At 37.0% G+C, this 16,003-nt stretch overlaps 1 long non-coding RNA gene across 2 annotated transcripts in view, besides 1 other annotated feature; it reads left to right on the plus strand.

Annotated features, from left to right (window-relative positions):
• Positions 1–16,003, plus strand: part of MIR2052HG (MIR2052 host gene) — a 158,596-nt gene that overhangs the window by 35,005 nt on the left and 107,588 nt on the right. The gene's annotated exons all lie outside the window — the stretch shown is intronic.
• Positions 13,330–13,917: an enhancer, noted in NCBI's record as "OCT4-NANOG hESC enhancer chr8:75560326-75560913 (GRCh37/hg19 assembly coordinates)". NCBI's record gives its function as "activates a minimal SCP1, AML or CMV promoter by ChIP-STARR-seq in primed H9 embryonic stem cells {active_cell/tissue: H9 hESC(primed)}" and the evidence as "EXISTENCE:reporter gene assay evidence [ECO:0000049][PMID:30033119]".

Below are 16,003 nucleotides of genomic sequence, written 5' to 3' on the forward strand. Positions count from 1 at the left end.
CACTACTTCATAGGTATCGCAAGACAGAAACGGACAACGAAATCTGAGGGGTCCATAGCTTTATGCTAGTCATGCTAGATTCACTGAGATTTTGGCAGGGCAATTGATTGATTGATTAATTGATCCACTCTTTCCTCAATTATTTATTGAATGTCAGATATGGACATTATGTCAGGAATATGGCTTATTTTTATTCAAAAGAAGGAAAATGTATATTCATTAGTCTAATTTTTATCTAATAATTCCATGAAGAACAAGGTAAGTTACAGTGAAAATGACTTATTAGGATTTTAGAGAAATTTGGGGGGTTGGGGGTGAATGGAAATGTGAGAAAAAGGGAGAACAGCATACCAAAAGGGTATTATGGTCTCATTTGACTGAATACTTATAACAGTTCCACAATTGTAGAATTATGAAATATTTATGGGTACCTATTATGTGCAAATCACTATATTAGGTACAGAAAGCACAAAAACAGATTTTTTTTTTTTTTTACCGTCAGGAAGGTTTACCTCTAGTGAATTGCATTAAACATACATAAATAAATATAACATGAGATGAAGTTTGTCAGGTGTCTAGGAGATATTTGAAAGAGTACATTTTCAGCTCTTTGGGTATTTGGAGGCCCAATGGAGATGTCATTTGCACTGGTCCTTAATTACTGGATAAGTTTGGGATCCACAGATATAGAAAGAAAGAGAATTACAAGTGAAAGGAGCTGTAAGCAAAACCATAAAGACAATAAATTAAAGGACATGCACAGAACACAATTTGTTCCACTTGGCTAGAGTCGAGGGAAATAAAGTTCGAAATTCAAACTGGGGTCATCTTTAATGCCAGGCTGAAGAATTTGACCTTTATTTAATAGGCAATGAAAAATGTTGCTTATCAATGTCAACACGTAATTCGTGGCTGGATTACGCAGCAGGATTTTATCAATCTATGTCATCATGACCTCTGAAATCCAACCTTTGGTCAGGAGCATATATTGATGTCTAAGAACTTTAGGATTAACTTCCCCAGGGAAATTTATAGCACAGCTTTAGATTTGATTCTTTAGAGAATTTTTATTTGAGGCAATATAAAAGTCTGATGTGTGTTGACTACAAGTTTTAAAATAAATGGTGGAATGCTTTTGGTTTGCCAATTTCTGAAAAGTAAAATAATGACATATTAAGTAATGGAAATGTGGGAATTAAAACTTTCACAGAAAGAGCAAACAAACTCATCATTTCTTTCCTTATCTCTGTTTCTGTGTCAGGCCCCCTTCCTGGCTCATGTCTTGTCCTCCAAGATGTCCTCAGTTGCCTCTATTTCAGTTCTTTTTTCTTTCCATGAGGGGTGAGACACCATTTTAGAACTTAGTAAGCCACGCTTGGCCTCAGTGTCCGAAAATAATTGGAGTAATTTCATTTTGTTTCTTCTAGAGGGGGATCCAGAAGGTTCAGAAGTTGACCTGTTCTTTACTTACCTTTCTGTAGACTTTACCTTGTTCCAAGTCCTGCTGGGATGATAGCCTTTAATGTATTTATCACTGTGTGGTGCTCCAATAATCCACCAATTCTGCAAATTTTTGTCCTTGAATTTAGGATGCTTTTACATTTTTTCTCGGAAAACAGTTTTACCAGCTGGCAGTCTGAGTTAACTAAGTTCCATATATAAATTTATGCAGGAAGGAGAGGGAGAAGAAAATATGCAGGAATGAAAACAAATATTTGAATGCAGTGTAATAGCTCAAAGCGCGAATCCAAGATAGGTCAAGTTAGAGTGATTTTTAAAAAGATCTTCAAATTTCAGAATACTTTATGATATTCTCTGCCAAAAACTCTGGGTTTTCATCAGTGTCTTTCACCATTTTATGGCTCTTAGTGGTGTTTTGTGGTCCATAAATTTAATATATTGTCCATGCTACCTATCGTATACCCTGAGATAAATTCCCAGACCACATTGGCACACTGAGAGCAGCACATTAAATGCCTCTCCCTGATTTTTCATGCCCTTTCCATCCATCAAGCAAGCCTATACAAAATACCTTTTATGTGTTAACATGCTAGATACTCTATGGCACCACTTTTCAGAATTTATTGTGATAAAAATGAACTGGAGGTATATTATGATGCAGATTCTGAAGTCTGGGTTGGGACCTGAAGGTCTGCATTTCTAATATGCTCACAGCTATGTTGGTAGAGGGACCACACTTTGGGTGGCAGGGCTCTTTGGGATTATCTTTAATAAAGAACTCATAATATAATGGGGTCATTAGGCACATCAAAAGCAAATATAAGGCAATCTGAATACAGTGATACACATATTTCATTGAGAATAGAAAGGAAGAAAGGATTCATTTTGTGGAGAGTAGGAGAAATTCAGAAAGGTTTCATAGAAGAGGAAACTTATTAAACTGGGTCTAGGAAGATGTGAAGGATCTGAGCAGGCATGGAAGATTTTCCAGATGGAAGGACTACATGTCAGAATCCATGGGCTCCGTAGACCCAAGTGGCTGGGACTTAGGGTGTACATGGAAAAGAGGTTGGAGATAGGACTGAAAAGGGAGCCAGCTTAATTAGCTTATTTCTTCCAGGATACACATGCAAACACATTCAGGAATTTTGTGAGAGATGGGGGGTGAAAATTAAATAAAACAAACACTCAAACACACACATGTGCGTGCACACACACACACACACGATCCTGGTCAAAGTTGCCATATTGCTTGCTCACAAATCAGTTTTATCTTCAGAAAAACACAGCCAATTTTAACAGAGAATTTTTGTCCTTAAGCCATGTTTTAACTTTATAACGTGGAGTTTTTAAAGGAAATATAAATAGCACACTTTGGAGAACTTTCATGAGTATCACTCTGAAAAACATACATAAGCTTTCTAAGATTCTTCTAGCAAGCTTCTTCAAATCTCCCCTACTCTCCTCCCTCCTTAGAATGTAGTTGCTTTGTAAGTGGGACCTCATGTTTACAGATAAGGTCTACATTTTTGGGTATGGCATGAATAGTCCTTTATGATTTGGTTCCAACTTATCTTTCTAGCCTATCGCTTACTGTATTTCCCTTCAATGCTCTACTTTACCATCTAAGTGGAATATTTACCTTTTATTAATTGAAAAATAAATTCATGGAATGCCTTCTATGTGCCAGAATATGTGTTTGACTCTAGGGATATAGTTTTGAACCCAGCAGATGTGGAACCTGCTTTAAAGGAGCTCATATTCTCATGGCATTGATAGATATTTACAAGTAAATGCAATAAATTGTGATGAGTATTATAAAAGAACAAAAAATTATAGGGATATTACTTACAATGGGAATCAGTGTACACATTCCTGAAGAAGTGATGTTTGAGCTCCTGAAAAATAAAGGGAGTTATCAGAGGGATGGTTGATGGAAGTTGGGGAGAGATAGAGAGAGAACAGCACACACAAAATGAAGTATCCTAGGCTAATGAGAAAGTGTGGAGCCTTCAAATCTTCAAATAATTGTGACAAATTCAATATTATTTGATATAAAAGTATGAGAGAGAAATGAGAGCTAGAAGGGGCCAGTTGCAGAAGGCTTTGTACACTGTGTAATCAACATAAACATGCTGAGGGTAATGAAAACCAATGAAGGGTTTTAAGCAGGGAACTTACATAAACAACTTTACATTTTGACACTATCATACAGGCTGCAGGATGGAGGATGACTTGAAGGGGATGAAACTAGAGGTGAGAGATCAGCTCTTGCAATTGCTCAGGTGAAATATGCTGATGTTTTGTATGACAGTGGTGGCAGTAGAAATGGAGAGTAGATAATTTCACATAGGAGGATTTTGGGGAGTAGTGTGGATACAGGAGACAAAGAAGTCAGTGATGACACCAATATTTCAGGTTTGGGCAGGTATTATTTATTAAGCTGGGGAAGCAATGAGAAACACTGTCTCTGAGGGGAAGAAGATAACTTCACATTTGGACACGTGCTTGATGGTCTCTTGGAATACCTAAATAAAGATGTAGAGTGGGAGTGAGGGATATATGTTCAGAACTAAGTGGCGAACTAAGTGGGGAATTTATTAATCTGGGCATCATCAGGATACGGATGAAATCGAAAGCCATGGAAATATATGTGATTGTTTTGGGGGAGTATGTAGAGTGAGAAGGTTGAAAGGCTGAGGACTGAGTCCTGGAGAATATGAACATTAGGTCATGAGCAAAAACAAACAAACAAAGCCTATAAAGTGGCTTGGGAATGAGCTACCAATAGCAAGAGGAAAATTCGGAGAGACTGAGTCCTTAGAAAACAAAGGAAGAGAGTATTTCAAGAAGGAAAAGTATTTCTATGGGTAAATAGGTTTGAGTAGCCTTGAGATCCACATTTGAAAAGTGTCTGTTCTTTTGAGGGCTTGATTTGTCATGGGTGATCTTGGTCAATGTTAAAACTCTTTCTTTCTCCTGCCTTTCAGCCCATGTTTATATTATATTTTCAATTCCTCTGTAGAATTCCATCCACATTTTAAGATTTAGTTAAAGTTGAATCTGCTTTATAAAAATCTTTTTGATCCTCCATTCAGAGACACATTCTCACTTTTATGTTCATCTGTCATTTTATACACCTTATATGATCTTTGTAACAGGCTACCTTTCCTTTCATCATTTGGGCATACATATCCTAATAATCCAGAAAGTTTTTTAGGTACAGAAACTCTGCCTTGAATGGGAAGATAATAGCTCAAATTATGAGGATCGCACAACTGGTCACATAGAGTTATTATTTATCTTTGCAGAATTTTAAGACACCCAACCTAATAATGTAGTCCAGGGCTCTGGGAAGGCAGGAATTGTGTTTCATTTCTGTAAATTGTTTTATCCTCATTGCTTAGCCCATGATATATATGAAACTCCTGTTAAAAATGTTCTTGCATATTTTCTTTCACATTTTATTTTTTCTCTGTTGAAAAAGTGATTTCAATTATGTTCCTATTGGACATTTTAGTATTTTTGACAAATTCTAGGTTGTGTCATGGCATTATTATTTCATTATCTTCACAACTTTCATTAAACATACTTTTTTTTTTATCAAAGTCCCCAGTAAGCAATAATAGAGCTGATGTGGACATTTGTATCCATTGAACTAGTCTGCAAGTGGAATGACATCGTTACACACTGGTATTCCCTTTTTCCAGTAACACTTTGAATGAGAGCCACTTGAGCCATGGTGGTACTTACGTGGGTTTTGCTTGTCACAGTCCCATCATGGTTTCAGATGTCACCAACAGCTCCTTTAATGCCTTTATTAATGTTTGATCACTTAGGTTCTATCTTACTTTCACTTCTTTAATCCATAGTTTGAAAGCAAGAGCATTTAAATTAATTATTCCCTTCTCAACATGGAGCTTCTCTCAATGCGGAAATAAGGGTAGACACTGAGGCTGGACACAGTAGCTCACACTTGTAATCCTAGCACTTTGGGAGGCCAAGGCAGGTGGATCAGGTGGATCATGAGGTCAGGAGATTAAAACTATCCTGGCCAATATGGTGAAACCCCGTCTCTACTAAAAAAAAAATACAAAAATTAGCTGGGCGTGGTGGTGCTTGCCTGTAGTCCCAGCTACTCGGGAGGCTGAGGCAGAAGAATCACTTGAACCCAGGAAGCAGAGGTTGCAGTGAGTCGAAATTGCACCACTGCACTCCAGCCTGGACAGGGCAAGACTCCGTCTCAAAAAAAAAAAAAAAAAAAAAAGAGTGGGCGCTGATGCTCTCCCTGGCCTCCGTTTTAAGTTCTGAAAGCAATTCAAAGAGAAAGAGGCAGGTAGGTCATCAGCTTTCTGGAAGAGGTTATACTCTATCTCAAACATGCATCCACTTGCTCTTTATGTTCTTATAAGGACTCAGGTACAAATTAGGGAAAATAAATGCCAGCTGAGGTTTCCTTCCTTTGTACCCCATCCAGGGAAAGAGATCTAACAGTATCCCAGGAAAGCTTTCCATAAACATCGTCCTTTTTAATTCAGCCAGAGTTACATCCAGAAAAACAACCACTTGAAACCCTTTGCCCCTATTTTCAGATTGCTGCCAAAGCTTTTGCCTTAGCTTACTTCAACAAGAATAAACTGTACGAAAGCTCTGGAGTTCTCAGAGAATGTGACTGCCTGCCCTGCTTGTTTAAGGTCATTAAAATCCTGGCCTTTGCCAAAAGACTTAGAGCACAGCCATTGTGTTCTTGGAGTGAACTGTAATTTTGCTTAGGTCACAGACATTTTAGTGGCCAACAATATTAAGATGGGTACTTTTTAATGGTGTTAAGTATAAATGAAATGCAAAGGGTGAGTACGATAATTACAAAATTGTGTTTATCGTGAAGATAGTCTGTATAAGAAATTGCTAGGACATTTACATTCATTAATTATTGAAAATGAAACAGCCTTCCTATTATTCTGTCAGATAAAGAACTCTATATTCCAAATGCCAATTTCTTAGAGATTTTATTTTCTTTATTGGGTCCTAAAAGCTCTTCATATTTATCCTGGGTGCATTTGCGGCCATGTACATATAGCCAAAAATATGTGATGAGTTGTATAATTATCTGGTGAATCCAAGCCTAGCAGGACAACCTGTTAAAGAGATAAAAGCAAAACTACTTTCAAGTCATCATTGCTTGGTTATTTTGAACTGAAATGTCCAGTAGATCTTCCATTTGCTTTGGTTAAGAAAAAAAAGAAGCTCATTTTTTTCTTCTTATATGAGTTATTTTCTCTATAATGAACTACAAAAATTGCATTCATATATTTGCTTTTTGAATATTACCTGTATTATTAATGTGACTGATTAGAGAAAAATAGAATAGATTGTGGTCCATTTTTTTTTTAGTATTATGCTTAAGTACAAAAGTTGAGAAAACATTTCATGGGGTTTTTTTTGGTAAGCAAAAGACAAGCTGATGTAATACATTTGTGTTTGAATAATTCCGCATCAATATACATGAACCTGTTTATCCTCATCCCTTCCAAACAGATTGTAATAGAAAAATAAGATACTTGTAGGTTATATCCAACTATTTAAAGTATGCTTTTAAGTCAAATGTACATTAATAATATTTAGAGGGTGAACACAGGCATGTTTTGGGTATGCTCAATGGTGGGATATATTGTCTCAGCCCAGGGGAGGAAGATGGGGGCCTTGTGCAGATGCCTGGGCCCAGAAGGCATTGAGTGCTGCTGGTGAGGCAGTACAGGGGCAGAAAACGTAGCAGTGGTGGTGGTGTGGGTGACTGGTGGTGTACTATGTACTTAGAACCTTTCAGATGTTCTATTCATATTATATTATTTAATCCTCCCATTTATATGGGAGGTTTTATTACCTCCATTTTAAATATGAAGGCTCTGAAGGTCATTAAACTTGCTCAGGATTGCAAATTGGTAAGTTGCTGTTGGAATTTGCATGCTATTTTTTTTCTAATTCCACAGTTCAAATTTGTCATGCTAGTTTTAGATCACAGTGGTTAATGTGCGCGGTTTCCAAGGATTGGGATACTTCAAGAAGATGTCATTTTTAAGTTCTGAAGAACTTTAGGAAGATTATAGGAAGCTTGCTTTATATGTGTAATTAACCTATTGGGACATATACTAACTCTTGGGCATTTCATGGAACAAATTATTTGTTGAGTACTGAGTGCCAGGAATTGTTGTAGATGCTAAAGAAGAAACAGTGAACCAAACAGCTGCTTCCCAACAACTCTGATAAGGATAGTCTCAGCAGTACTGACTTAAGAAGTTGGTATATTTGAGATTACTGTTAATGATTTTAAGGTTGCAACAAAATTTAAAAACATATCAGTGACATTTTATATATTTGCTAACTGTTGGGAAATTGCAGTTGAATACAAGCAGCAGAGTCTTTAGAAGGCAGTACCACCAAGAATTAGTTATTGTGTCTTTCAAGCTTATTTGTGAATCCAGTTCATTTAACTAGATGACTATCGACTTATTAAAAATGCATACCCTTTGTGTGTTCCATAGTGTGTCTCTGAAATTGTACAGGTTAAACAACCTGATGCTCACATCAAATAGCATGGTTCCCATCATCTACTTGGGTTTCATTGCGTGTCCAGCATGGGTAGCATTTGTTCCTCAAATTCTAATTGTGCTTTTCATTTCCAGCTACCAGCACTGGATAGTTTTATCAGACAGGTAGAAATAGTTTTGAATACACCTAGCCAGATTCCCATGCATGGCAGGTCACATTCACCTTCCTTCTGCACTTCCATTCCCTCCAACAATTGGCAAAATTACATTCGTATGAGTTACCTTACACATTTTCAGATAGACACATATGTCTGCTGTCTCTCTGGGAGCATTCTAAATTTTGTCAGAGCAGTGCTTGGGCAAAAAGAATCCACAGGTAGGAATATCCAATAATCTGCTCACTCCCAACCTGGTTGCCTTCAAAAGGCGAATTATTCTTGTGCATTCAGTAATGGTTTTTACTACCAGCTCTGCCCTGAACAACTGATTCAGAATTCCGTAATTTCTTTCTTAAGCATGGTAGTAAATGTGGTTTCTTGGACTTCTTCACATGTACTTAGCAATTTGAACCTCAGTAGAATTAAAAAAAAAATTCTTTAAAGACCAGAAATTTGAAAGAATTAACAATTCCAGGAGGCAGAGTAAAAAAAGGATTGGTAAGGGAAAAGATGAATTTGTTTTTGCTGGTGTTTCCAGAAGTCCGGAGGTATATTTTCGTTCTCGTGGTTTTACCTTTCAGCCCTTTCTCTAAGTCTGTCAGCTAACAAAATGCCTGCAGTCCCAAAATGTTTTATTCTCTAGTAAAGAAAGAAGTATCAAATTATTCTAAGCATCACTGTTTATTTACTATAATCCCAGTAAATCTAAGTTGAGATAATGAGATAATGCCATCTAGAAGAAAAATTAAAAAATATTAGAAGCATTTTTTTTAAACTTTAGAGATAAGTAGCAAAGTTTCCCTTGTACGGACAGCTCTCTTAAATTCCTACCCTTCCCTAATGCTAATAAGCAATATATAATACAGTTGAGCAAACAGACATTCACCACTCTTTTTATCATTTAAATGGCCTCTTTTAGTTAACAACAAGAAAAAATAACAGAAAAGCCCTTTTAAATTCTTTCTATAAGGAAAACACTTTCATTAGAACAGACTTTTATCACAGAACTAGATCATTCTGGGGATTGCTTGGTGGTAAGCTTCTTTCTTACTTTTGTATCCTCAGTGCTTAACATCCCCTGAGATGTAATTCTCCTTTGTTGTTTTCCTGCATAAATATTTCTTATGATTACATATTGCCCAGTCAGTGAAGTCCGAACTCACTAGTATGAGATGTAAAAGGCCATGAGCTGGCACTTTATTCCTCCTCAGTGTCTTTTCTCTCTACTTTCCCCTCCATATGTCACATTGTGCATTTTTAGGAAGAACAAAATATAGTCATGAGCCACATAATGACGTTTCAGTCAATAATGTCAATAACATACGCGACAGTGGTCCTGTAAGATTATAATACCGTATTTTTGCTGTACTTTTTCAATATTTAGACATGTTTGGATACACAGATACTTACCACTGTGTTACAATTGCCTACAGTATTAGTATAGTAACATGCTGTACAGGTTTGTGGCCTGAGAGCAATAGGCTACACCATCTAGCCTCAGTGTGTAGCAGGTTACACCATCTAGGTTTGTGGAAGTACACTCTATGATGTTCGCACAATGACAAAATCACCTATCAATGCATTTCTCAGAAAATATCCGTTTCGTTAAGTGGTGCATGATTGTAGTGAGTTTTTTTTTCCTTTTGTGAAACATAGGTGCCCTGTAGAAAAACCACTTGTCACCGGGCACAGTGGCTCACGCCTACAATCCTAGCACTTTGGGGGGCTGAGGCAGGTGAATTACTTGAGCTCAGGAGTTCAAGACCAGCCTGGGAAACATGGCAAAACCCTGTCTCTACAATAAATAAATAAATTAGCCGGGCATGGTGGTGCATGCCTGTGGTCCCAGCTACTTGGGTGGCTGAGGTTGGAGTATCATTTGAGCCCAGGAGGTTGAGGCTGCAGTGAGCTATAATCATGCCACTCCACTCTAGCCTGGGCAAGAGAACAAGACCCTGGCTCAAAAATAAAATAAAATAAAATAAAAAATAAAAAACAAAAGCAAACTAACAAACCAAAAGAAACCAACCACTTGTCTTGGAGCCCTGTCCCTTCATTTTAGATGCTTTATTTATAGAAGTAACAAGTTGGAATTGATTCTCCTGAAGAGTTATTTATGAGAAGTTTTTTTTCCAGTAGCATCTAGACTTGCATTTTCAGCACATTTTTATATTGTTTAGCTAAGTAAGAAGAAATGTACTATGGGGTGGAAAATTTAGATGGATTACCACTCAAGATATCAAAGTATAGTCATAAACTTAGTTTCAAAGTTGGGGAAAAAGGTGACCTTGGTAAATAAAAAAGTGAATTCCAGTCAAGGAAGCACCATCGAGTTCATAGAAGATTAAATCTTTTCTTTCTTTTTTTTTTTTTTGAGACGGAGTTTTGCTCTTGTTGCCTAGGCTGGAGTGCAATGGCACGATCTTGGCTCACCACAACCTCCGCCTCCCAGGTTCAAGCAATTCTCCTGCCTCAGCCTCATGAGTAGCTGGGACTACAGGCATGTGCCACCACACCCAGCTAATTTTGTATTTTTAGTAGAGATGGGGTTTCTCTATGTTGGTCAGGCTGGTCACGAACTCCCAACCTCAGGTGATCTGCCTGCTTTGGCCTCCCAAAGTACTGGGATTACCGGCGCGAGCCACTGCGCCCGGCCTAGAAGATTAAATCTGAGATCTGATTACTAATGAGATCTGATCTCACCTGGAACATAGTGACTGCTAATGCTTATGAATTGACTTGAAACTTAAAGCCCAAACGGGTTTACTGGTAGCAGAATTATCTAGAAAGAGCAAAGCCATGGAGCTATTCCATTAATCAGACCCATGTCTACTGCTTGATGTCAGGGCAACATGTATCTCTCAAATTTATCTGTTACCAAACTGTGCCATCTAATGGTCAGCTTCCTCTATCTGATTTGCCTGAGAAAATCGTCCTTTTAATCTTGAATGATTTTTACAACCTAAGCCTATGTTTTTTGTGGAGTAGGTCCTGGTTTTTACTACCTCCTGATATTTTTTTCATCAATGACCCCTATTAGGAAACTATGTATTTATTTGTTTATAGTCAACAAATATTTAATGAGCACCTACTTATTTGCAAAGCTTTGTGCTAATCACTGGGGATACAAAAGCTATTAAGAGTGGCAGGGTCTTTGCCCCTCTGCAACTGAGTCTAGTGGGAATACAAACAGGTAAGTAGTGCCTAAAATACAGTGTGATTAATACCATGATAAGGGAAGTACAGAATGTCTCTTCTCCATTCACAGAAGAGGGCACCTCACCCAGGAATGGGGATCCAGGGAAGACTTCCTAGAGGAAGTAAGAGACTTTCATTCAAGTCTTTATAAGAGTTCTCTGGCTGCAGTGTGAAGAGTGGCTTGGTGAAGAAATGATGGCCACCTAAATATGAAAGTAGAGAAAACAGGAAAGTTTTAAGACACAGGAGTTATAATCCATACTGGTGTTTGATTTGATGTAAGCAGTGAAGGAGAAGGTATTCTTGGGAATGATGCTCAGCTTTATGGTTTGGGAAACTGACTGGATAGTAGTGACATTGACAGAGAGAGCAAATGCAGGGTGTGACAGTGAGGAGATGATGAGTTCAGTTTAGGACATGGTAATTCAAGTTAGCTGTGGGAGAAACAAAAAGATATGTTTTATAGACTGGTGGGCATTCACATATAACACTGGATATTTAAAAATTACTATGAGCCCCAGGCAAAGTGGCTAATGCCTGTAATCCCAATACTTAGGGGAGTCAAAGCAGATGGATAGATCACTTGAGCCTAGGAGTTCGATATCAGACCTGGCAACCCTGTAAGACCCTTTCTATATGAAAATTAAAAAAATTATCTGGGTGTGCTGGTACATTCCTGAATCCCCAGCTCCCCAGGAGGCTGAGGTGGGAGAATTGCTTGAGCCTGGGAGGTACAGGCTGTAGTGAGCTTTGGTCAAGCCACTGAACTTCAGTCTGGGTAACAGAGTGAAACCCTGTCTCAAATAAATAAATAAATAAATAAATATTATCAATAAATAGATCATAATCAAATCATATAAATCAATAGTGGTGGACCTCAGAATTCTACCAGCTATTTGGGCCAGTACCCAGGTGTCTTATCAGTCTGTGTGCAGGAGGCACAAAAGTTCACCTAACCTTATTCACAAATTTTCACCTTAAATGGAGTTTGAAGGAACCTGTTAGTCTTAGGCCTTTCTGCATATATGCATATATATGCAATATATGGCCTTTCTGTCTCTTACATATACACACATGGTATTTCAGCAAAGAGGTGATATGGCATTACAGAGAGGTTGCAGGACAAGAGGACAGAAACACCCAGGTTTTAGGCAAAAGCTATGTTGCTTTCCAATATTTGACTCTGGTTCAGTCTCCAGTTGCTTTAACTGTGAAATGGAGATGACGAAATGGCTCTTCTTACAAGGTGGTTTGAGGCTCAAATAAGTGATGTATTACAAACTATAATATGTTACACAAATGCAAAGCATTGCAATTAGCTCCTTCTTGGCAATAAACAAATAAAAAATGGAAAAACCAAGCTGTAAGTTTCTGGAAAACATTTCTCTCTTATAAGTTTTTTCATTCAGATTTATTGAAAAAATGTTTTAAGCATTTAGTCCTAAGAACACATTGTTTAGAACTGAAAAACTGAAATTGGAAATCATATAGCCTTTTAGAATTCTAAGTTAGCAACCTGAAGCATTTGGACTATTATTTGTTTCTTATTTGTTGCGGGAAGTCAGGGACCCAGAATGGAGGGACCGGCTGAAGCTGTGGCAGAAGAACATGAATTGTGAAGATTTCATGGACATTTATCAGTTCCCAAAATTAATACTTTTATAATTCCTTATGCCTGTCTTTACTGCAATCTCTGAACATAAATTGTGAATATTTCAGGGACATTTATCACTTCCCCAATCAATATTCTTATAATTTCTTATGCTTGTCTTTACTTTAATCTCTTAATCCTGTTATCTTTGCAAGCTGAGAATGTATGTCACCTCAAGACCACTATTGTACAAATTGATTGTAAAATATGTGTGTTTGAACAATATGAAATCAGTGCACCCTAAAAAAGAACAGAATAACAATGATTTTCAGGGAATAAGGAAAGATAACCATAATGTCTGACTGCCTTCAGGTTTGGGCAGAATAGAGCCATATTTTTCTTCTCCCAGAAAGCTATAGACAGATATGTGAGTAGGAGAAATATCACTGAATTCTTTTCCCAGCAAGGAATATTAATAATTGATACCCTGGGTAAGGAATGCATTCCTGGGGGGAGGTCTATGAATGGCTGCTCTGGGAGTGTCTGTCTTCTGTGGTTGAGATAAGGACTGAAATATGCCCTGGTCTCCTGCAGTACCCTCAGCTTACTAGGGTTGGGAAATTCCAGCCTGGTGAATTCTAGTCAGAATGGTTGTCTGCTCTCGAACTCTGTTTCCTGTTAAGATGTTTATCATGACAATGTGTGCACAGCAGGACATGGACCCTCATCAGTAATTCTAATTTTGCCTTTGTCTTGTGATCTTTTATTGCCCCTTGAAGCATGTGATCTTTGTGACTTACTCCCTGTTCGTACACCCACTCCCCAGCAAAAACTTGCTGGTTTTGCAGCTCAAGGTCGCCATCACGGTCCTACCAATATGTGATGACACCCCCGGAGGCCCAGCTGTAAAATTTCTCTCTTTGTACTCTTTCTCTTTATATCTCAGACTGGCCGACACTTAGGGAAAATAGAAAGAACCTACATTGAAATATTGGGGGCTGGTTCCCCCGATACGTATTATTTTCTTATATTTCATTGGGTAAGTGAACTAAGGAATACTGCAAGGAAGACAATACTTTTGAATCGTCTCTATGTGCCTGATAGATCATATCTAAGTGTTTAAAAAAGATAATATAAGGAAAACAATCACTGTGTCAACATGAAGATTTGATTATGCCTTTCTTTCTATGACCTGTTTTCATGAACATTCAATTTTCCTTGGCCTCTTAGGAAAGAAAGGACACACACTGGCACACTATAGTGGGGACATCTGGATCTCTGAAATTGTCTAGCAAAGAGAGGTCACTGAGCACCCATATGAATAGGAGACAGAAGTCAGAGACAGAGGCAAAAAAAAAAATTAGAATAGGAGACACAGGGTAGTAAACTGATGTTTGTGGCTTAGCTCGATTTTTGGTAATTTAAAAGATAATGTTGATAATATGATTGATACGGACTTTTAAGAAAGAGAAGAAATAAATAAATAAATCTCATGAGAGACACAGATGCAGGTGTCTTGAACCACTTTATAGAGTTGTGAGTATGTGGTCTGAAATATTTTATGAAAATGACGCCTTGGATACATTTTTTTCTTGTCAGTTCCTTCGGTTTTGCATTTTTGTGTGTGTGATTTAGTGCTATTAAAATAGTTTAAAAAATAATGCTCAGAGTTGATCATGCAATTTAAAAATTAAATAGAATAGAGAGGAAGACAGTTCTAAAAAGGAAATCTGAGGGGTATGAGATAAAAACGTGTTGATCATGGTCTTTCAAACATGAATGTGAATATGAATATATTTACATATATACCTACATATATATATATGCACATATAAAAGTTTATTGTTCTTAGGCACTCTGATTATATCACAAATACTTTAATTTTATGCATTTGGTTTTCAAAATATCTTTTACAATTCATTTTTAAATATTTTGTGTTTACAAAATGCCTATGTGTAAAAAATCTACACTTTTACCTATTTAGTGTCACTGTGAATTACTCACTATATGTTTCTCATGGGTAGTTTGAAGAGTTTAGAGAAGTGCATGTTTGAACATCATGGAAAAGTAATATTTAAGTTCAGGTGGTTGTTGGGTTCTGGCAATATTTATGTAATATTTTATATTTTTTTTCAAAGAACTCTACATCTATATAAATGTCCAGATAGTCACCAACATTTGGCTCTAACCTTCATTATGCTTGCTTTTATTATTCCTATAAAGTGTCCTTCTACTGAGTGTGTATATTTGAAATATGATTTGAAATTTTTAGTATGATTTAATGCTAAACCTTGCAATTAATTTCATTTATGATTTTAAAGCATTTCTTCAGTTAAATCTGTGGTTTTATATTTATTAGTGAAATTTCCTCCCAGATTTGTTAAGATATAACTTACACACAATAATATAAGCATACAGTCTGATGAACTTTTGCAATTGTATGCAACTGTATAACTACCACCACAATCAGGATATGTAAAGGCAGACAATTTCATCACCCCTTTCAGTCTGTCTCCTCCTCAATGTTGTTTGCCTTTTCTGGAATTTCGTATAAATAAAATTATACAGTATGTAGTCTTTTGTGTTTGACTTTTTTCACTTAACGTAAGGTTTTTTGAGGTTCACTCATGTTGTGTGTATCAATAGTTTGTTCATTTCATTTTTATAGGGAGATAGTATTCCAATAGTATAGATATACCACAATCATTTTATCCATTCATTAGTTGATGTAAATTTAATGTTTTTATTTTCAGTGTTTAGCTATCTTGAATAATGCTGCTATGGCCATTCTCATATGAATGTTTTTGTGGACATATTTTTTCATGTCTCTGGGGTGAAAACTTAGGAATGGAATTTCTGTGTGGTGCGATAGATGAGTATGGTGTGGTAGGCACACCACCAACCTGTCCTCCAAGTGGCTGGATGATTTTACACTCCACCAGAAATGCATGAAAGTTCCAGTAGTTCCATGCCCTCATCAATAGTACCTGTTGGTGAATTTTGGTCATTCCAGTGGGTTTTTAGTGAAGTTTTAAGTCACAGGTTAA

The sequence above is a fragment of the Homo sapiens genome, chromosome 8 (assembly GCF_000001405.40).
Source record: "Homo sapiens chromosome 8, GRCh38.p14 Primary Assembly".
In the NCBI taxonomy this organism is placed as follows: Eukaryota; Metazoa; Chordata; class Mammalia; order Primates; family Hominidae; genus Homo; species Homo sapiens.